The sequence below is a fragment of the Homo sapiens genome, chromosome 6, assembly GCF_000001405.40.
Source record: "Homo sapiens chromosome 6, GRCh38.p14 Primary Assembly".
Lineage (NCBI taxonomy): Eukaryota > Metazoa > Chordata > Mammalia > Primates > Hominidae > Homo > Homo sapiens.
This window is the reverse complement of record NC_000006.12, coordinates 39,514,990-39,535,621: the sequence shown is the minus strand read 5'-3', so window position 1 is coordinate 39,535,621 and position 20,632 is coordinate 39,514,990. Positions and strand designations below refer to the sequence as shown.

The 20,632-nt window shown below is 40.9% G+C and overlaps 1 protein-coding gene across 8 annotated transcripts in view, besides 4 other annotated features; it reads left to right on the top strand.

The window, feature by feature from the left end:
• Positions 1–20,632, top strand: part of KIF6 (kinesin family member 6) — a 395,419-nt gene that overhangs the window by 189,787 nt on the left and 185,000 nt on the right. The window lies entirely within an intron of this gene.
• Positions 2,338–2,527: a silencer, noted in NCBI's record as "fragment chr6:39500871-39501060 (GRCh37/hg19 assembly coordinates)". NCBI's record gives its function as "represses an EF-1alpha promoter that drives an FKBP-Casp9 reporter gene in an ReSE screen in both phorbol 12-myristate 13-acetate-treated (for megakaryocytic differentiation) and untreated K562 erythroleukemia cells {active_cell/tissue: K562 | K562(+PMA)}" and the evidence as "EXISTENCE:reporter gene assay evidence [ECO:0000049][PMID:32094911]".
• Positions 4,836–4,915: an enhancer, noted in NCBI's record as "active region_24495". NCBI's record gives its function as "activates an Ori minimal core promoter by ATAC-STARR-seq in GM12878 lymphoblastoid cells {active_cell/tissue: GM12878}" and the evidence as "EXISTENCE:reporter gene assay evidence [ECO:0000049][PMID:35858748]".
• Positions 4,936–4,995: an enhancer, noted in NCBI's record as "active region_24494". NCBI's record gives its function as "activates an Ori minimal core promoter by ATAC-STARR-seq in GM12878 lymphoblastoid cells {active_cell/tissue: GM12878}" and the evidence as "EXISTENCE:reporter gene assay evidence [ECO:0000049][PMID:35858748]".
• Positions 5,106–5,245: an enhancer, noted in NCBI's record as "active region_24493". NCBI's record gives its function as "activates an Ori minimal core promoter by ATAC-STARR-seq in GM12878 lymphoblastoid cells {active_cell/tissue: GM12878}" and the evidence as "EXISTENCE:reporter gene assay evidence [ECO:0000049][PMID:35858748]".

The window sequence follows — 20,632 nt, the reverse complement described above, 5'->3', positions numbered from 1 at the left end:
AAGTCTCCCATTATTATTGTGTGGCAGTCTAAGTCTCTTTATAGGTCACTCAGGACTTGCTTTATGCATCTGGGTGCTCCTGTATTGGTTGCATATATATTTAGGATAGTTAGCTCTTCTTGTTGAATAGATCCCTTTACCATTATGTAATGGCCTTCTTTGTCTCTTTTGATCTTTGTTGGTTTAAAGTCTGTTTTATCAGAGACTAGGATTGCAACCCCTGCCTTTTTTTGTTTTCCATTTGCTTGGTAGATCTTCCTCCATCCTTTTATTTTGAGCCTATGTGTGTCTCTGCACATGAGATGGGTTTCCTGAATACAGCACACTGATGGGTCTTGACTCTTTATCCCATTTGCCAGTCTGTGTCTCTTAATTGGAGCATTTAGTCCATTTACATTTAAAGTTAGTATTGTTATGTGTGAATTTGATCCTGTCATTATGATGTCAGCTGGTTATTTTGCTCCTTAGTTGATGTGGTTTCTTCCTAGTCTCTATGGTCTTTACATTTTGGCATGATTTTGCAGTGGCTGGTACCAGTTGTTCCTTTCCATGTTTAGTGCTTCCTTCAGGAGCTCTTTTAGGGCAGGCCTGGCGGTGACAAAATCTCTCAGCATTTGCTTGTCTGTAAAGTATTTTATTTCTCCTTCACTTATGAAGCTTAGTTTGGCTGGATATGAAATTCTGGGTTGAAAATTCTTTTCTTTAAGAACGTTGAATATTGGCCCCCACTCTCTTCTGGCTTGTAGAATTTCTGCCAAGAGATCTGCTGTTAGTCTGATGGGCTTCCCTTTGTGGGTAACCCAACCTTTCTCCCTGGCTGCCCTTAACATTTTTTCCTTCATTTCAACTTTGGTGAATCTGACAATTATGTGTCTTGGAGTTGCTCTTCTTGAGGAGTATCTTTGTGGCATTCTCTGTATTTCCTGAATCTGAATGTTGGCCTGCCTTGCTCGATTGGGGAAGTTCTCCTGGATAATATCCTGCAGAGTGTTTTCCAACTTGGTTCCATTCTCCCCATCACTTTTAGGTACACCAATCAGACGTAGGTTTGGTCTTTTCACATAGTCCCATATTTCTTGGAGGCTTTGATCATTTCTTTTTATTCTTTTTTCTCTAAACTTCCCTTCTTGCTTCATTTCATTCATTTCATCTTCCATCACTGATACTCTTTCTTCCAGTTGATTGCATCAGCTCCTGAGGCTTCTGCATTCTTCATGTAGTTCTGGAGCCTTGGCTTTCAGCTCCATCAGCTCCTTTAAGCACTTCTCTGTATTGGTTATTCTAGTTATACATTCTTCTAAATTTTTTTCAAAGTTATTAACTTCTTTGCCTTTGGTTTGAATTTCCTCCTGTAGCTCAGAGTAGTTTGATCGTCTGAAGCCTTCTTCTCTCAACTCGTCAAAGTCATTCTCCGTCCAGCTTTGTTCCATTGCTGGTGAGGAACTGCGTTCCTTTGGAGGAGGAGAGGTGCTCTGCTTTTTAGAGTTTCCAGTTTTTCTGCTCTGTTTTTTCCCCATCTTTGTGGTTTTATCTACTTTTGGTCTTTGATGATGCTGATGTACAGATGGGTTTTTGGTGTGGATGTCCTTTCTGTTTGTTAGTTTTCCTTCTAACAGACAGGACCCTCAGCTGCAGGTCTGTTGGAGTTTGCTAGAGGTCCACTCCAGACCCTATCTGCCTGGGTATCAGTAGCGGTGGCTGCAGAACAGCAGATTTTCATGAACCGCAAGTGCTGCTGTCTGATCGTTCCTCTGGAATTTTTGTCTCAGAGGAGTACCCGGCCGTGTGAGGTGTCAGTCTGCCCCTATTGGGGGGTGCCTCCCAGTTAGGCTGCTCGGGAGTCAGGGGTCAGGGACCCACTTGAGGAGGCAGTCTGCCAGTTCTCAGATCTCCAGCTTTGTGCTGGGAGAACCACTGCTCTCTTCAAAGCTGTCAGACAGGGACATTTAAGTCTGCAGAGGTTACTGCAGTGGTTTGTTTTTGTTTGTCTGTGCCCTTTTTGTTTGTCTTTTTGTTTGTCTTTTTGTTTGTCTGTGCCCTGCCCCCAGAGGTGGAGCCTACAGAGGCAGGCAGGCCTCCTTGAACTGTGGTGGGCTCCACCCAGTTCAAGCTTCCCGGCTGCTTTGTTTACCTAAGCAAGCCTGGGCAATGGCGGGCGCCCCTCCCCCAGCCTCGCTGCCTCCTTGCAGTTTGATCTCAGGCTGCTGTGCTAGCAATCAGCGAGACTCTGTGGGTGCAGGACCCTCCAAGCCATGTGCAGGATATAATCTCCTGGTGCACCGTTTTTTAAGCCCATCAGAAAAGCGCAGTATTAGGGTGGGAGTGACCCGATTTTCCGGGTGCCATCTGTCACCCCTTTCTTTGACTCGGAAAGGGAACTCCCTGACCCCTTGCGCTTCCCGAGTGAGGCAATGCCTTGCCCTGCTTCGGCTCACGCACGGTGCACTACACCCACTGTCTTGCACCCACTGTCTGGCACTCCCTAGTGAGATGAACCCAGTACCTTAGACAGAAATGCAGAAATCACCCGTCTTCTGCGTCGCTCACGCTGGGAGCTTTAGACCAGAGCTATTCCTATTCAGCCATCTTGGCTGCCCTCCCTCCTGTTTCCAGCTTTTGAAAGGTGTGTCAGTCCTGCTACTACAGACTGTGCTGGGAGCCCAAGTTCATTCGCGTGTGTTTCTGTTAGGCCAGCAGAGCATGATGTGCACTCAGGTGACTGATGCCTTTCCCTTAAACACATTGAGGAACCAGATCTATGGAATGTCCTAGAACAAATGGGTAAAGCCCTTCCCTTTTTGGCAACCTAAGATGAAATGTTTTGTATAAACATGTGTTGGAATGGACTACCTGACATGCATGGTTTTCTGAAGGATTCAGCCTGGAAATAATTAAGCAGTATGGTGCTCATTAAGAAGCATATATTTTAGTTAAGACAAGATTGAGAAGCATGGAAATACATTTTGTGACATTACAATTCTTTATCTCTTAATTCCATTTCTCCTTGCTTTGAATATTTTTTCAGCAACATGGTAGAATGAACTCAAAATCCCAGGAAACCAAACTTGCTGTTTTTACCACTTATTGTGATGGCAGTAGACAATGAAGATCAATAATTCCTCCCTGTGATAGTTTTCTATACATCTTTGCTGGTTGGGAAAAGGGGGCCATCTGGATTGCTGAATTCATTAATTTATTCATTCATTTATTCATTCCTCTTTCATTCAACAAATAATTTATAGAGCACATCCTTTGTTCTAGGCATAGTGCTAATTAGTATTACTATGGCCACAGCTTACACAGTCCTTATATACATCAGGTACTATTCTAGTTCTCTGCCTGGATTAACTCATTTAATCTTTATCCTATAAGTTCTTGTTTTATTCCATATTACAGAATAAAATATACATGGACAAATACAGCCTCTGACCTCAGAGTATGTACAGATTGACAGGGAAGACAGCCACTGAACAATCGATTACAGAAGTACACGTCTGTATTACTGAGAAAGCACATACCAGGAAGCCAACCTCCGGTTAAGACCAGGAAAATCCCAAAAGCGGGGGTGAAGGTAGAAATGTGGCTAGAAGGAATATTACAAGCAGAGAGAATCAATGGCATGAATAGCTTTCCAGGCCTTTGTGGTGGAAGGAGCATTTTAGGAAGTACAAAAGCCAGGTGTGGTTAGGATCTGGGGAGTGAAAGGCTGGGACGACAGGTTGATTGACATGGGAAGAAGGGATTGACAGAGGACACTAAGACTGCATGACAAGTTAGGAGGCCATAGCAGAAGTCCAGGCCAAAGGACAGGGATGATGAGAGAGAGGCAGGGGCATCAGAAGCATTTATGAGGTCGAGTGGACAGGGATCTGGGGCAGATTGGATGCTGGGGGTAAGGGTGAGGATTGGCCCCCTGGTGTCTGGGTGGCTGGTGAGGCTTTTCATGGAGACAAGAACCGTGAGTGCCTTCCCTGGCCCCACAATTTCCCCAATTGACATTGTTGGCTATAGAGAGCATGGGATTGGCATCTCTGCTGAAATAAAATCGGTACTCATGTTAGAACCTCATGGCTTATGATAGAGGAGGAGCTCTGTTTACTGGCCTTTTCCAAAGGCACACACTATTGTACCCATGCAGAAATGGCCTCAGATATCACTGCCCAGCCCCTTGTTGTGTGCCAGGCCTTTTCTATTTCTATGTCTTCTTGCCCACACCATCTCCCTTCTCATAATTCTTCTTCCCCACAGCATCTTATAATCACTCTCCTTCCTTATAATTATAGTCAAGAGTTTCAGTAACTCTTTTCCTCCCTTGATATTGCTATTGAGACAGACTAGAGTTTTGTTTGGAGAATGAATAAAGTTTACTTGAATAGAAAATCATTGAAAAAAGAATGGAAATTTTTTGTAAGGTCCAAATACAAATGAGGTTAAAGTTTTGAAGAAGAGACTTCTATCTGAAAGGGTTTTTGAGTTGTTTTCACTGTTATTGGATATAGTTCTACCAATAACTTTAAGCAGAGGTAGGCTCACAAATGGAATGATAATGATCTCACCATTTGGGGGAGGGATTGATTGGGGATTGATGTGTTTTTTTTTGGCAAAACTACAAATAGGATGAAAATTGTTGTGGATGAATCAAGGCGGCAAAGCAACAGGTAATGGGATAGTTCATTACAATATTTAAGATTCTAGGAGCTGATCAGGCTTTTATTATTCCATTATTTTATATACAAGAGGCTTGTATAAACTAAACCAAATACAAAAAAATTAATAAGTATGTTGTTTTGAAAGAATTTCTGCCTTATGTCAGTGTTAACAGTTTCTATTAACTGTCCCTAGGGCTGCTTCTAATGCAGAAAGTAAGTAAATCTGACCATCTCTGAAACTGCTGTGAAACTGTCTCCCCTTTGACAACCCTCTCTCATTTCCCATTCACCTCCACTTTACCAATTTATGCTGAAAATAACTCCCTTCAGATTAGAAAATGAAACCGAATTCATGGTTCCCTAGAGAGCCCTGCAGAGTCATTGCGCAAGCAGCCTGACATGGCCAAGGAAGGTTAGGGGCTTTGGGGCTTTTTGTTGTTGTTTTGGAGTTTAAATGTCTGTTTTGGTTTCATTGAAATAATGAGAGAGATTGTTCCGCTCCGTAGTTTGGAAAGAGTTGTATTGTTCACTTTAAAATAGGAGGCATTTTAAGGTTGGAGTTTTTTAAAAATTTCTTTCTGTTTTAGTTTTCTGACTGCCTATTCTAAATAGTCACCTGGAACCAGTCAGTGTTCTGAGAGCCCTGATGACTCACCACCTCCTTTAACTCTTTGAGATACCAACAGAACCCACTCATCACAGATGATGCCATTGGCATTTTAAAAGGTGAAATGAAAGCCAAAGCTGTAGCCTGGAGGCTCCAGACCCTTATCTCCTCCTCAATGAGAATTTGTTGAGTCCCTGCTGTGTATATAGAAAGGCCCAGGGTACCAGGGTACATGCTGTAGGCAATGCCAAGGTGAACGGAGAATGGGTCTCTGGTTTGGGGAGCTTACATTTAAACAGTGGAGGCTGGCTTTGTACCCAAAGAGCAGAGACTGAAATAACAAGTGCTCTAAGCAGGAATTGGAAGAAATACTCTGTGAATTCAAAGGAGAAGGAGAGGATTTAATAAGTAGGTTGAGAAAAGCATTACAGAGCAGGTGACATGAAAGTTAAATCTCAAAGGATGGGCAGAATTTGGACATTCAAAGATGGAAGAAAGAACATCTCAGTCTTAAAGAATAATGTGAACATTTATATGTCTTCTTAAGAGGAATGTCTATCAGGTCACCCTTTTTTTTTTGAGACGGAGTCTCGCTCTGTCGCCCAGGCTGGAGTGCAGTGGCATGATCTTGGCTCACTGCAAGCTCCGCCTCCTGGGTTCATGCCATTCTCCTGCCTCACCCTCCCAAGTAGCTGGGACTACAGGCGCCCACCACCACGCCTGGCTAATTTTTTGTATTTTTTAGTAGAGACGGGGTTTCACTGTGTTAACCAGAATAGTCTCAATCTCTTGACCTTGTGATCTGCCCACCTTGGCCTCCTAAAGTGCTGGGATTACAGGCATGAGCCACTGCGCCTGGCCAGGTCACCCATTTTTAAATTGAATTATTGGTTTTCTTTCTGTAGAGTTATTGGATTTTCTTATAAATATCTTATCTATTTCAGATATGAATCCCTGATCAGCTGTATGGCTTACAATATTTTCTCCCAATTCATAGGTTGCCTCTGCTCTCTGTTGTTTACATTGTTCTGCAGAAGCTTTTTATTTTTATGTAACCCCATTTGTCTAATTTTGCCTTTGTTGCCTACACTTTCTGGGTCAAATCTAAAAAATTATTGCCCAGATCAGTGTCATGTAGTTTTTTCCCCCATCTTTTCTTCTAGTAATTTTTCAGTTTCAGATAAGTTTAACTCTTTAGTCCATTTTGAGTTGATTTCTGAATATGGTGTGAGATAAGCATCCGGTTTTGTTCTTCTGCATATAAATAGTTGTCCCAACACCACTTATTGAAGAGTCTCTTTTTCTCCTTGTGTATTCTTGGCATCTTTGTCAAAAATCAGTTGAGTCTACATGTGTGGTTCATTTCTGAGCTCTCTATTCTGTTCCATTGGTCGATGAGTCTATTTGTATGCTAGGACCATGCTGTTTGTTCTTTTTACTCATGATAGCTTTGGATATTCAGGGGTTTTTGTGGTTCCATATGAAATTTAGAATTTGTTTTTTCTATTGCAATGAAAAATGATTTTGGAATTCTGATAGGGAATACATTGAATCTATAGATCACTTTAGTAACATGGACATTTTAACAATATTAATTCTTCCAGTCTATGAACAGATACATGAAAAAATGTTCAATATCACCAATCATTAGTGAAATGCAAATTAAAAACTGCAATAAGATACCAAGTCACACCTGTCAGAATAGCTATTATCAAAAAGACAAGAGATGACAAGTGTTGGGGAGGATGTGGAGAAAAGGGAACCCTTGTACACTGTTGGTGGGAATGTAAATTAATACAGCCATTGTGGAAAACTATATGGAGGTTCCTAGAAAAACTAGAAATAGAATTACTATATGATCCAGTAATGCCACTTCTGGATTTGAAATCAATATGTATCCAAAAGATTTGAAATCAAGATGTCAAAGACATGTCTGCATTCCCATGTTCACTTCACCATTATTTACAGTAGCCAAGTGATGGAGTTAACCTAAATGTCCATCAACAGATGAATGGATAAAGAAAATGTGGTACAGATACACAATGCGATACTGTTCAACCTTTAAAAGGAAAGACTTTTTGCCATTTGTGACAACATAGATGGAACTGGGGATCATTATACTAATTGAAATAAGCCAGGCACAGAGAGACAATACCACATGTTCTCACTTATACATGGAATCTAAAACAATCGAACTCAAAGAAGCAGAGAGTAGAATGGTGGTTACCAAAAGCTGGGAGGAGGGGATAGGGAGATGATGGTCAAAGGGTACAAAGCCTCAACTAGATGGGAGAAGTGTTGTCTTTTACTTTGAGATATATTGTACTGCATAATGAATATAATAAATAATGTACATTTCAAAATTGCTGACAGAGTAAATTTCAAATATTCTGACCACAAAGAAATGATAAGTATTTGAAGTGATGGATATGTTAGTGTTATTTAATTATTCCACATTGAATTCATAAATCATGACATCACTTTGTACCTCATAAATATATACAATGATAATTTGTCCATTTACAACTAAAAATACAAGTTAAAAAAAGAATAATATGAGCAAAGTCTTGGGAGCAGGGACACAAGGAAACCCGTGTAGAGTTGGCAGGGATATTTGTTTAGCCAGAGCTTTGGAGGTGTGCAGGAAATCAGAAGAAATAAGGCTAGAAAAATAAGTGAGAAATTGCTAGAATGGTTGCCTTAGGGAGAGGGAGTAAAGGAATAGATGGGAACTTCTTTTAACTTTGTATGCTTTCATATTGTTTTAATTTCTTACTTTTCTTTATTGAATAAGTGGAGTCATGTTATAGAAATCTTTGAATGCCAAGCCAGGGGATTTTTTTTTTCCATTTGGTTGTAAGAGAACCACCAAAGCAGAAGGGGCTATGGTGATAGTTGTGCTCTGGGGAGGTATTTTTAAAGGAACTCTTTGGAGTATATTGGAGATGAGGTGCCTGGAGAGCAAGTAAATAGTTTAGGAAATGTAATAGACCAGGCTGGGAGTAATTGGAAACAAAGAAGAGGAGAGGAACATAGGGAGATAGAGGGGAGGGAGCCCACCGCAGGTCTTCATGGCATAAAGGAAGGCTCTGCTTCTCTCTCTTCCCAGCTTTCTCAGTGCTTCTGGCACTTAGATGCTAATTATGCAGCTATAGACACAAGAAGGAGAACAGTGGAGCTGGTGCTTCCCTAGGCTGCTGCTTCAAACCTTGAGTCAGTTCCTTGAGTTTGTTTTACTCTTGCTCAAAGAGTATATTAAGCCTTTACAAACTGCTTACAAACTACTATTTGTAAAGTCTCAATATACCCAATCCTCTAACAGGTTTAAAAGAAAAGCTCAAGGAGAATTTGATAGAGGTAAAACTCACTCATAAAGCAACCAGAGAAATAGAATAAAAATCATATTGTTTCTAAGGTTCTTTCCAGCTTGCTTTGTTGCAGGCCTTAAGCATGAATGCCTACCTCTGCTTTGAAATCACCCATGATCCATCTCATCCTCTCTTTTGGAACTGACCACACTTTGATCTTTGCATTTCCTCATGAATGCAATTAAAGAAACAATCAGTAAATGGACCATTGACTTCTCTATAGCTCTGTGGTCAATCGCACTTTTGCAGAGCACAGTACTGACCAAACAGTTATCAAGGTTTATTCTAGGTGCTACATCAGAGAAATGCACCTTTGTATCCTGCCTATTTGAAGGCTATATGGCTTGGATGAAATGAATAAATGATACCTGATAAAGAAGGGGTTGTGGGGGAGAGAGAGAAAGATAATGCACACATGAGAGTGAGTAAGTACACGGATCTCTGCTTTCTGGTGTGAGTATTTGTTTTGTCTAGTAGTCTTTGTGATCCCATTAAGGTCTTCAACTTGAAGTCACCATTTATGAGCACCTCAGGAGTTTTTAATCTGGTGGGAGAGATAAACAGGTTGATGGAGCTGTCTTTCAGTGTAATAAACGCACAAGAAAAGGGACTGGATAGTTGAGGGTTTCTGCAAAAAAGTATTCCATTCAGTCATCACTTCCAGACTCTTTGGAGAAAAGGGTATGATCAGAACAAAAAACACAGATTCTAAGTTTGTAGAGGATTCAAACCAGAGGCATCAAAGAGACAGAAAGTAAGCTTGGTAAAATGCATACCTATTCCCTATGGATATTAAAATTGTCCAAGGTGACAGCTGGGATGGACATATAGAGGAAGCCCATGACTCTGGTATCCAAGTAGCCAGTGACAGCAGGGAAATGACTAGAAGGGAGGTCTGCCAAGGACAGTGAAGAGTAGAGGGTAAAGGAAGAGATAGCTAAGTGGAATGAATCTGAAATGGAAAAAGAGTTGCTTGTATTGTGTTATTTGCTTGTTTGTTTATTTTCAACAAAACAAATGAGCATTGTTCTAGAATCACCAAGAGAAAACAAGTAGAATCCCGACCAACATTTCCATTTTCCCATCTAGTTGTAGGGGGAATCACATGCCCATTTTTCTCAGTTTGCCCTGAGGTTGGGGAAAAAGGCTTTATTTATTTATTTATTTATTTATTTATTTATTTATTTATCTATTTAGTTAGTTATTGAGATGGAGTCTCACTCTGTCGCCCAGGCTGAAGTGCAATGGAGCCATCTCGGCTCACTGCAACTTACGCCTCCCAGGTTCAAGGGATTCTCCTGCTGCAACTTCCGCCTCCTGGGTTCAAGGGATTCTCCTGCCTCAGCCTCCCGAGTAGCTGGATTATAGGTACCCACCACCATGCCCAGCTAATTTTTGTATTTTTAGTAGAGACGGGGTTTTGCCATGTTGGCCAGGCTGGTCTCGAACTCCTGGCCTCAGGTGATCCATCTGCCTCAGCCTCCCAAAGTGCTGGGAGTACAGGCATGAGCCATTGCACCCAGCCTAAAAGGCTCTATTTATATTCAGTTGTGTCTATAAACTAGGATGAATATTGCCTACTCAAGAAAATGAATTCTTCAAATAGGAGGAATACCTTCAAACCTCCATTCAAACACTTCTGGGGCCCAAGTACAGTAGCTCTTGCCCGTAAACCTAGCACTTTTGGAGGCCAAAGCATGATGGTGCATGCCTGTGGTCCCAGCCACTTGGGAGGCTGAGGTGGGAGGATCACTTGAGCCCTGGAGGCAGAGGTTGCAGTCAGCTGAGATCATACCACTGCAACTCCAGCCTGGGTGACAACGTGAGACCTTTTCTAAAAAATAAAAAAAATTCTGGGGAGAGGGCACTCATCTCAGGCCTGGTAAAGAACCCTAACCAAACAATCATAGAAGACAAATTGCCCAGACTGATTTACTTGTAGGCAACAGAAAAGTTAACTATGGTTCTGGGCATGGGAACCCTATCTTTTGGCTCCAGGATAAAAGATTATAAATACTAAGCCTGAGTCAGAACACAGATAATTTTCATTTTATTGAACATTGCATCCCCAAATTACTTTGCCAGTGGATTATTTTGAGCTCAGGTTGCATTTCCCCATATATTAGTAGGCTGGATTCCTGGGGGAGCAAAGTCTGAGCTGGATGCTTATTAGGGCGTGCCCCTGGGGCCAACACCTGTGGAAGTGAGAGGACAGGAGCAGGACTTAGAGGACGGAGAAGATGAGCTGTATTGCAACTTTGCCAGCTGACAACAGCCTCAGTTGACCTAACAAGGGGCTCTGGAGCTGGGCAGGCCTTTCAGAGTTGTCCTAAGTTATGGCTGGGGACAGGGCCTTTCTACCCTCACAATGGTCAGTCGTTGGATGTAGTCCTGCCCCTGTAAGGAGCATGGCTTTAAATCAGGCAGGTTTTTTCCAGCTGAGAAAATCCCCAGATAGGCTTGACAGTGAGTACTTTCCTCTAACATGCTCCCCGCAGCTGGAGGAATACGACCTTTATTCTTCAAGGGGTATCTGGATGGCGCATCACAGTATCTAGCACAGCCAGTAAGTTTTCCAGGATTTCCAAGATACCAGCGTAGTCCCTAATTTAGCTGAATTACATAACTTTAAAGCCCACAATGTAACTCTATAGTAATATGGCCCATAAAGTTGAATAAGTATAGGAATTATGTAATCTAATCACTATTTTTAACATTGTTTTCATGACAAAATATATGCTGTATTTCTACTTTGGATGCCAAGAGCACAAGCCCTGTCAGGGAACAGAAGGTCCCTCTCTTTCTCACTCTCTCTCTGTTTCTATCTCTCTCTCTCTCTCTCTCTTTCACACACACAGACACACACACACACACAGCCTTGCCCAAACTTTGGAAATAAAACATTATTCTTTCGCCAATCATGTATTTACTCTGTGAAACACATGAAGTACTGTGCTATTCTAAATGAGGTGGAGAACATAAGACATTCTACTGCAGGAGCACTGGGAAGCATAAAGACCTATCCTTAACTAAAGGAGCAGTGGCTCCTATTCATTCATTGAATAAAAATTCATTGAATTCAAGCTAGGTACCAGACACTGTACAAGGTGTTGGAGTTTAGAAGGTAAATGAGACCCAGTACCTGTGTCAACTGGCTCACAATCTCAAAGAGCACCTATGGTGCACAGATGTACAGGGTGCCCTGGGACATGGAAAACGGATGCCAACTATTCCCAGATAGGTTTAGGAAAAACCTGTCTGGAAGAGGTAGTAGTTGAACAACATCTTCAAAGAGTAATCATATATATATATATATATATATATATATATATATATATATATATATATATATGGCAGAATTAATAGGGGAGGGAAGTAAAGAAGAGAGCACTGAGGCCTAGGGAACTTCTCAAGCAAATGTGCAGAGGTGTAGGACACACAGAGGGTCTGTGATGTTGCAAAAGCATTTGGTTGGGTTGGATTGTAGGGTTTGTGTGGATAGGATGGTGTTTAGCAAGAAACAAAGCTAAAGAGAGACCAGTTCATGAGATGCTTAAAAGCCATGCTTTTGAATTTAGAACTTTATTTTCTTGGCAGTAGGGAGCCGTTCTGGCTTTTTAACAGAAAAGTAGCATGGCCATATTTCTGTTATAGAAAGAGCACTGATAGCAATGTGCAGAGTAATTTGGATACTGGAGGGAAGGTAGACAGGACGTTGTAACAGCAGTCAAGCTACGTAATTATAAGGACCTCGACCAAGCCAGCCACGGTAGGGACTGAAAAGATGAGACAAACATTTGAGATACATAGCAAAGAGAACTGATTAGAATGGAGGTAAGATGAATAACCTAGGATTACACTCAGGTTTCTGAGTGGATACAGTGCCATTTTCCAAGAAAAGTAGGTTTGGAGGGAGGGTTGATTGGTTAAATTATGCATATGTTAAGAATGAGCACGAGATGGGAATGTCTATGCAAACGAATGTATAGCTTTAGCGCTCAAAGCAAAGGCTTAATTAGAGAAATGAATGTATAATTGACTGTTGTAGCCATGAGAGCAGATAAGGGGGTCCAAGGCTTGAAACTGCCTCAGTTATAGTTTCATTTCATAAGGAGAAGGGTAGCCAGGAAAAGAGGAAAAGAGGACCAAAGGCAGAATGCTTATTAAGGAGCCCCAGTATTGGCAGAGTAGGCTGAGGCAGAAGATCCAGCAAAGGAGAACTGTGAAAGGCAGAAGAGAGCTGGGCAAGAGAGCAAGATCTCAGAAGGAAAGCTAGAGGTTGAGTTTGAAGGAGATGGATGTGGTTCACAGTACTGGACATTGCAGAGTGGTCAAGTAAGATGAGAACTTCAAGGAATCTGTTGGATCTGGGTGGAAAGTGATCAGTGACCTTTGCCAAAGCAGTCTCAGAGAGTGTAGGGGCAGGCAGAAAGCTCACTGTAACAGATGGACAACTAGGAGGTAAAGAAGTAGAGACAGAAGTGGTCACACAGATCATTGGAGATTAAGGAATTTTGAGGCTAGAGTTGTTAAATGGAGTTCCTTTGTGGGTGCTGCAGTCATTCAAGATATTGAGAAGAAATTAGGTGGGTAGGAAAACTGTGAACCAGGAGCCCAGGTTGGCTGGGGGTACTGGATGATTTTTTCACTCTTTGATCCAATATACACAGGGCACCCTTAAGTTACATCACTGGAAAGAGTGGGTAGTGGGACCAAATGTTACAAATCTCAACGGAGGAATAGTTTTTAATTCTGAAACGGTATCTGGGAGCCAGAAGGCCAACACTGTCTCTGGCCCCTCTGATATTTACATTGTGGGAGAATAAACATCCTCCCCTTGATAGGGCTCCAGAGAAGGCAATGTCCTTAAGGGGAAAGTGAGATGTCAGTGAAGGGAAAAGGCTGAAGGAAAATTCCATGAAAATGTGGAGTGTGTGGGAGAGTTAAACTGCAATGGAATGAGGGTTCCAGAGAGCAGAGTGGGCAGGTTCTCAGGGAGGCCAGCAGTGGAAGGAGGAATGGGTGGGATGAGACAGAGGTGGGGCAAGGAAGCAGAGAATAATATATGGGATGACAGTTGCCTGGAGGGTCTTGCATTTTGTGGGTGGCCAAAGATGACAGGATAAAAGTCATGGTAAGATTGATTATCCTTGAGGGTACAGGCCTGGTAAGTGCAGCAGATCTAGTCTCTTATTGGGTTTTTAATGATATGCTTCTGAGAATTCCCTTTGAAATGAACTCTTCCTGGATGATGTGGTAGAATGGGGGTGGAGGAGATCAGCTGGCTTCTGATTGACTGACTCTCATTGAAATCACAGCATCCTGTGGAAGTTGGAACCAAGGTACTGCCCAGAAAGGCTTGGGAAGAGGTTGGAAATTATCTTTCTCCAGTAGATTTTTCCCTACATTTTTAGGGGGACAGTTGGTATGGTCCTCACATACTCATCTCTTGACAACCCAGTGTGGCTCCAGAAGCTGCAGCAGCTCTCCTAGGGATGGGGGCACTGACTTGGAGGCCGTTCCTGAAACAGTAGCAACAGTTTTGCGGCTTCATAGATATGGGTCATTCCTAAGTTGGATGTTTATAAAATTGGTGTTGTATCTCCTAAATTCTAAGTTCCTAAATATGTCTTCACTACTCAGAGGCCTCCTCAGAGCCCACTCTAGAGGTAACATACAGACACTAAAGCAAGAGCAATAGAATTAGATCAAGGAGATTCTTTTTCTGGTCTGTTTGATTTGGGTCAAACAGAGCTGAGAATGCTGAAACCTCCTATCTGACAATGTTAACTGTTACTTCCCTCTGACCATAATGTAATCAGACTTCATCCTGTGATGAGAGACAATAATTACACTGAGTAACAGCATCTGCCTTCACCCTGGAGTTTGAGAATTCCAATCAGCACTTCATTTTTCAAATTTGATTTTCTGGGATTTATACCAACAAAGATGAAAATGGTTTCTGGCAGTGCATTCAGTAGGGAATGTATTTTGGAAACACGATAGATGAACTCTGCCTTTGTTTGTAGCAAAAAACATGATCTTTATAAAACATCTATCAATTGTTCTGACAACCCAAACCAGAATTTACCACTCTGCTCCTATGACAGTTAGGTCTAGCTGGTTTTCGTGTTCGTGATTATGTTATCAATATTTATTATAATTAGTATATGTGTGTGAGGGGAAATGAGTGTGACCGAAAAGCCCACCTTGGAAGCAAGAAGCCGTTTTCCACTGTGCATATGTGAAGTTTGTCTTTTGATTGGAACCTCAGTCATTGCTTGAAAAGCCCTCTGTCACCTGTTACACTGTCTTTTAACCTCCCTCAGCCAGAAAGCTTTGCTCAGACATAGTACCACATCCGCTCTAACTGCATTTCAGGCTGATTTGGTTCCTCACTTTCTGATTCCCTAATTTCTAGTTATGCAACACTGGCTGAAGCTGTGCTTCGGTGAATCTGCTGAGTTCTTAGCTTTTGGTTATTCTACTGCATTTTAGTGAGCAGAGGTTCTTGGAGATTCCACAACCGTCCCTTCTCCAAACATCTTGGGCCTCAGAGAATTGTGTGTTGTGTTGGGCACTGTTCTGACACTGATAGACAGGCTATGTGCTTTGGTTGGAGCTGCCAGCTTTATTAAACGAAAATAGAGGACAGTTCAATCTGAATTTCAGATAAAAAATTATTTTATTTTTTCCTATAAGTGGGTCTTATGCAATATTTGAGACACACTTGTACCAAAAAATTATTCATTGATTATCTGAAATTCAAATTGAACTTGGAATCCTGTCTTTTACCTTTAACCCTTCTCCTGGCCCTTTTCTTTTGTGATGTTGCCATGGTAAAGGGATTCATAGCTAGTATATAAGAAACTGCTCCGGAAGAGGAATAGGGAAGTCTATATGGATTCATTAGCATGCATGACCTCTGCAGGGCTTATTTATTTATTTTTTTGTTAGTTTGTTTATTTGTTTGTTCGAGATGGAGTTTCACTCTGTTGCCCAGGCTGGAGTGCAGTGGCACGATCTTGGGTCACTGCAACCTCTGCCCCCCGGGTTCAAGCGATTCTCTTGCCTCAGCCTCCGGAGTAGCTGGGACTACAGATATCCACCACCACACCCGGCTTATTTTTGTATTTTTATTAGAGATGGGGTTTCACCCTGTTGGCCAGGCTGGTCTCGAACTTCTGACCTCAGGTGATCCACCCGCCTTGGCCTCCTGAAGGGCTGGAATTTACAGGCATGAGCCGCGGCGCCCGGCTGGCTTGTTTTTGTTTTGTTTTGTTTTGTTTTGTTTGGAGCGGGGTGGGATGTGGGGGCAGTTGATCTTCATGTCATATTAACACCAGACATGGCAGGTTTCTACTCTTTGTTCCATCCATTTCCCTTCCTAGACTCGCAGAATCCCAGGTTTTGGAACCAGGAGGGAGACAGGGCTGTTATAGTATGTAGAATTTCTCAAACTTTTGCCTCAGAATACCTGTCAATATGTCATAGGATGCTTATGCTCTGTAAAACACCGTAGGAAAACCTGCCATGCAGCATTACCCTTGAACATTTTGTTGCTACATATACAGTCTTTCTGGTGCTGCTGTATCCACCTATTTATTCTTCATATTTATTGTCAATGCTTAGTACTGGCTAAAACCATGACATGATAAACTATGTCTTGTGGATATGTTCCTAGAGCCTAGTCATTTGTATATGGTTATTTTTGGAAATAAGTTTTATAACAAAGACTTTCATCAATAATGTGGCCTATTCCATTGGAAGTTTTTCAGATGCCCAGGAATACTCTGCACTTAGTTTCCTCAAGCTGACAAGCCGAAATATAAGTATTATTTATACATTTTCTGTCTCGGTACCCCCCACTCCAACTTGACCAACCATGCAATCAGGCTAGCCTAAGAGTGTTCATGAACTTCTCAATGCAGCCACACCTAGTATCTTCCAGAGCTCAGTTCCATGCATGGTGTCAAATGCTTTTGTGAAGCTAACAGACACAACAAAGAGATATTAATGTTTCACCCTGTAGTTTTCCCATCTTCACTGCATGATGAGCATCAACTCAAGGCTACTCTGAGTTTTCGGATGATGGGGTTTTCTTCTCCAGTTGTGCCATTGAGATGTGTTTACAGATCTCTTTTTAGAAATTTTATTTCTCTAGAAGTTAAGCATTTACCATTTGAATGACTGGAGTGACATTTTGCAGCATACGAATGACCTCACCCACAAAAGCTCAACGAGTGTCAGACAGTGATCATTCCAAGAAGTGCCATGGAACAGTTATCTCACCCTTTCAGGTCTTATTAACAGTTATCTAACTGATGTACAAGCACTGTCTGGATTTTGAATATATACATGACATCTTTTCCTTTTTCTTCAGTAGAAATATATATTTGTGATCACAAACTAACACCCAGCGTATTCTTTTTAGAAGACTGTAGTATAGTACTTCATATTTCAAGTCCTATGTTGCTCAATCGTTTTCCTCATATTAAAGTAAAACTCTCAGTAAAATATGTCACCACAGTATTTTACAATCCACTGATATGACATGAAAAAGAGCTGTTGAACATTTTTTAACCATTAGCCTGCAGTTCTCATCACTTAACTCAGATATAATAACACAGAGTAACTCTAAATTGCTTCAGTCACAGCTGTGCAAGCATGTGTGTGTACATACTTTCATGTACACACACCATAGAGCTCACATAGTCCACACAGCACACACATACACACACAAGGCACACATGTGCACATACTAGCTCTTTCATCTTACCATGCTTTTCTAGTACATCTAGTAAATCTCACAGTGCTGTTCTTAGTCTGTACTATATTAAATGAATGTCCTTCCACACTTAGTGTTCCAGAACTATCTAAAAGGTTGATTTCCTGAGTCATAGGTTAATTTTCCATTTTTAATTCCATCAAGTCTAGCAGCTACTGGGGTGCTCAGCTCCAGCATTTATCTTGCCCTTTATGATCTCAGTAAATTCCTTTGACCCACTTTGTTCTGTAAACATAAGCAGGACCAGAAAGCATTTGGTATGTATGACATAATGGAAAAGTGATGTTCTGCCTAATGTGGTTTTTTTGTGATTTTTCTCACCAAGGCTCAAGATATTGTTTTGATAATGTCCTACGAGGAGATAGGCAGGATTTGGCAGTCTGTTGTTCTCTCTGAATGCATCAAGGTCTGTTAAACTGATTATATTAGTTTCAATATACAGTAGATGGGCTATTCTAAATTATTTTAAGCAGAAGTAAAAACCTAATTGATTATCATATTCATTTTATAACTTCACTGCTCATTACTCCTCTCCACTTTAATTAGATGTGCAGTGTGAAATAATCAATTCCTGCCGTTAGCAAATAGAACCCACAGGACCTCATTATCCCCAGACTCATTGCTTCAGTGTTCAATTAACCATTTTTGTGGAATAGTTTTGTTTTATGGAAGATTGACACTGCTTAAGGTCCCATTTTTCACTAAGTGGAGGGAGGCAGGAGATGACAGTGCCATAGGTGGTGGTTCATGTGTCCAAGGAGAGGGATTCCCTTCAATCTTTGTTATCCACTGTCAACAGTTTGAACCTACCAAAGGTTCAAATGCAAGATAGTCATCTGACTCAACTACAACCAATGTTCAGTGTCTCCTTAACACTTTCTTCTTTCTGTCTTTCCCTAATGCCTAATAGTAAAACCTTATGGTGGGAGCTGGGGGTGCTCTGCCCAAAATATCCTTCTTTTCCCCTCAGCTTGAAATTGCCTAAGTTACAGTGTCATTTGGGTAAAGGAGATAACCTTAAAAAGGTTAAGCTGGGCATAGCAATCATTCTACTTTAGTGTGTTTCATTTGGTCACCTCCTTTCTTAGCTGTGATAAATGACACACTTGGGTAGGGTATTTCAGTACAGTATGGATGCCCGTTTCCTAGAGGCCTGGAGAGCAGGAGCATCAACCAGTGGAAGAAGGATAGGGCCACAGTGTCGGAGGAAGGAGAATGAAATTTGCTACTCTGAAATGTTGCTACTCACCTTCCTTTGCTCCCAGGGCCCCTCCAAGTCAGGTACAACTGTCATTTAACTGAGAGTTAACTCCTGCGATTTTAGAGGTCAAGAAAGAGCAGGAAAGGGGTGAGGGGAACCAACCATAGTTAGCTGGCTTTCTGGTAATCTAGGCATTGTATCATTAAGGCCAACCCATGATTTGCCATGTACAGCCACTATAAGAATTTTCTAAGATTTTTCTTTGTTGCATGTGGCAACACATCCATAAAGCTTAGCAAGAATGATGCCATAGAAGTTTTAAATTTCACAAGTAATACTTGCACATGTTTTCCTTTTAAAAAAATTAAAACTTTACAAGTAACACTAAATTTTCTTTGACAACTCACCCCAGTCTCCCAGGCTTCTCCCACTTTCCCAGTAATAACTGTGGGTATGAGATCATTTCCTTTATTTATTTATATTTAAATAATATATACATTACTTTTAAAATACATTAAAAGTATAACTATATTTTATTTGTATTTATATAATATAAATAATATATTAGATATTTTATAATATATACAGTATGACACAATATTTTACATATAATACATAAGATATAATGATTATATATTTTTAACATGTATTTACTATATAAATATATATCTAACATATATAATGTATAGTTTCCTCTTTATATATATATCCATTGAAACATGTAACATTATTTTATGTGACTGTATCTGGATATTTTTTCATAAATTCATTTATTCAAGATTCAGTAAATATGTAAGTGCCTGCTCTGTACCAGAGCCCTGTGTCCACATGACACATTGTAGTAGACACAGGTTGCATATCTCTTACCCAAAATGCTTGAAACCAGAAGTGTTTCAGATTTTGGGAATATTTGCCTTATACATACTGGTTGAGTATCTCTAATTTAAAAATCCAAAATCCACAATGCTCCAGTGAGAATTTCCTTTGATCATCATGTGGGTGCTCAATACATTTCAAATTTTGGAGCATTGTGGATTTTGGATTTTCAGATTAGGTACTATTATTCTGAAATTACTTTTTTTCCTACACTCAATATGTCTTGGAGATTTATCCATTTTCATACATATAGATCCATCTCAGTGATTTTAATAACGCATAAGTATGATATCTCACAGTCGATTTAGATATTCTCCTACTGCTGGAATTATTGTCTTGGAATTTGACCTAGCCTTCCTCTGTTCTGCTGAGTATTTCTCCAGAGTCAGTCAGCAGGGGAAAGGGACCCCTGGCAGCTTTTCCTTCCCTCTCACAGTGGGAGGGGTGGAGAAACCACATCTCCTATGTGGCTTTGTGATGACATGTTAGTCGTATTCCGGGTTGTCACACCAGACATACTATATAAGAGAAGTGTTTGAGATGGCTTTTTCTATTAGGATAGTGCATGAAAGTTTTAATGATAAGAATCAAAATAGGAGTGGTGACAAGGAGAGTAGAAATGGAAAAGAGTTGTGGTCAGGGGACTTGTGAAGGGGTGGCTGTAAGCCGGGAGGAATACATCTGGACCACAACAGCACGCAAAGATGATTGCGCCCAAGGAGAGGGCACAGAGTGGGCCAAGTTCATGTGGGTACAGATCAAATGCCAGGGAAAGGTCCGTTTTGGTGTCAACTCCTATTTCTCGCTTTCCGATATGGTTCCTATTCATGATCTTTGTTATCTAGTTCTCTTTTTAAATCCTCCTGAACTGTGAAAGCCTACATTCCTGTTTCTAGACATTCAGGTTTGATAAAAATGTGAAAAAGCCTTTCTGTCTGAACAAACAGAATGAGGCTTACAAGAAGATCTTCAAGAATGGGATGAAATCCAGTCCTCATAATTGAAATGTTTTCCTTACCTCATTCTGATCCACATGAATTTAATGTGCATTATATATAAAAGGTTTTTCATATAGTTTGAAAAATTAGTAGGTTTCATAATTTTCTTTTTCCAGTTGAGGTTTCAGAGCATTAATTTTATTAT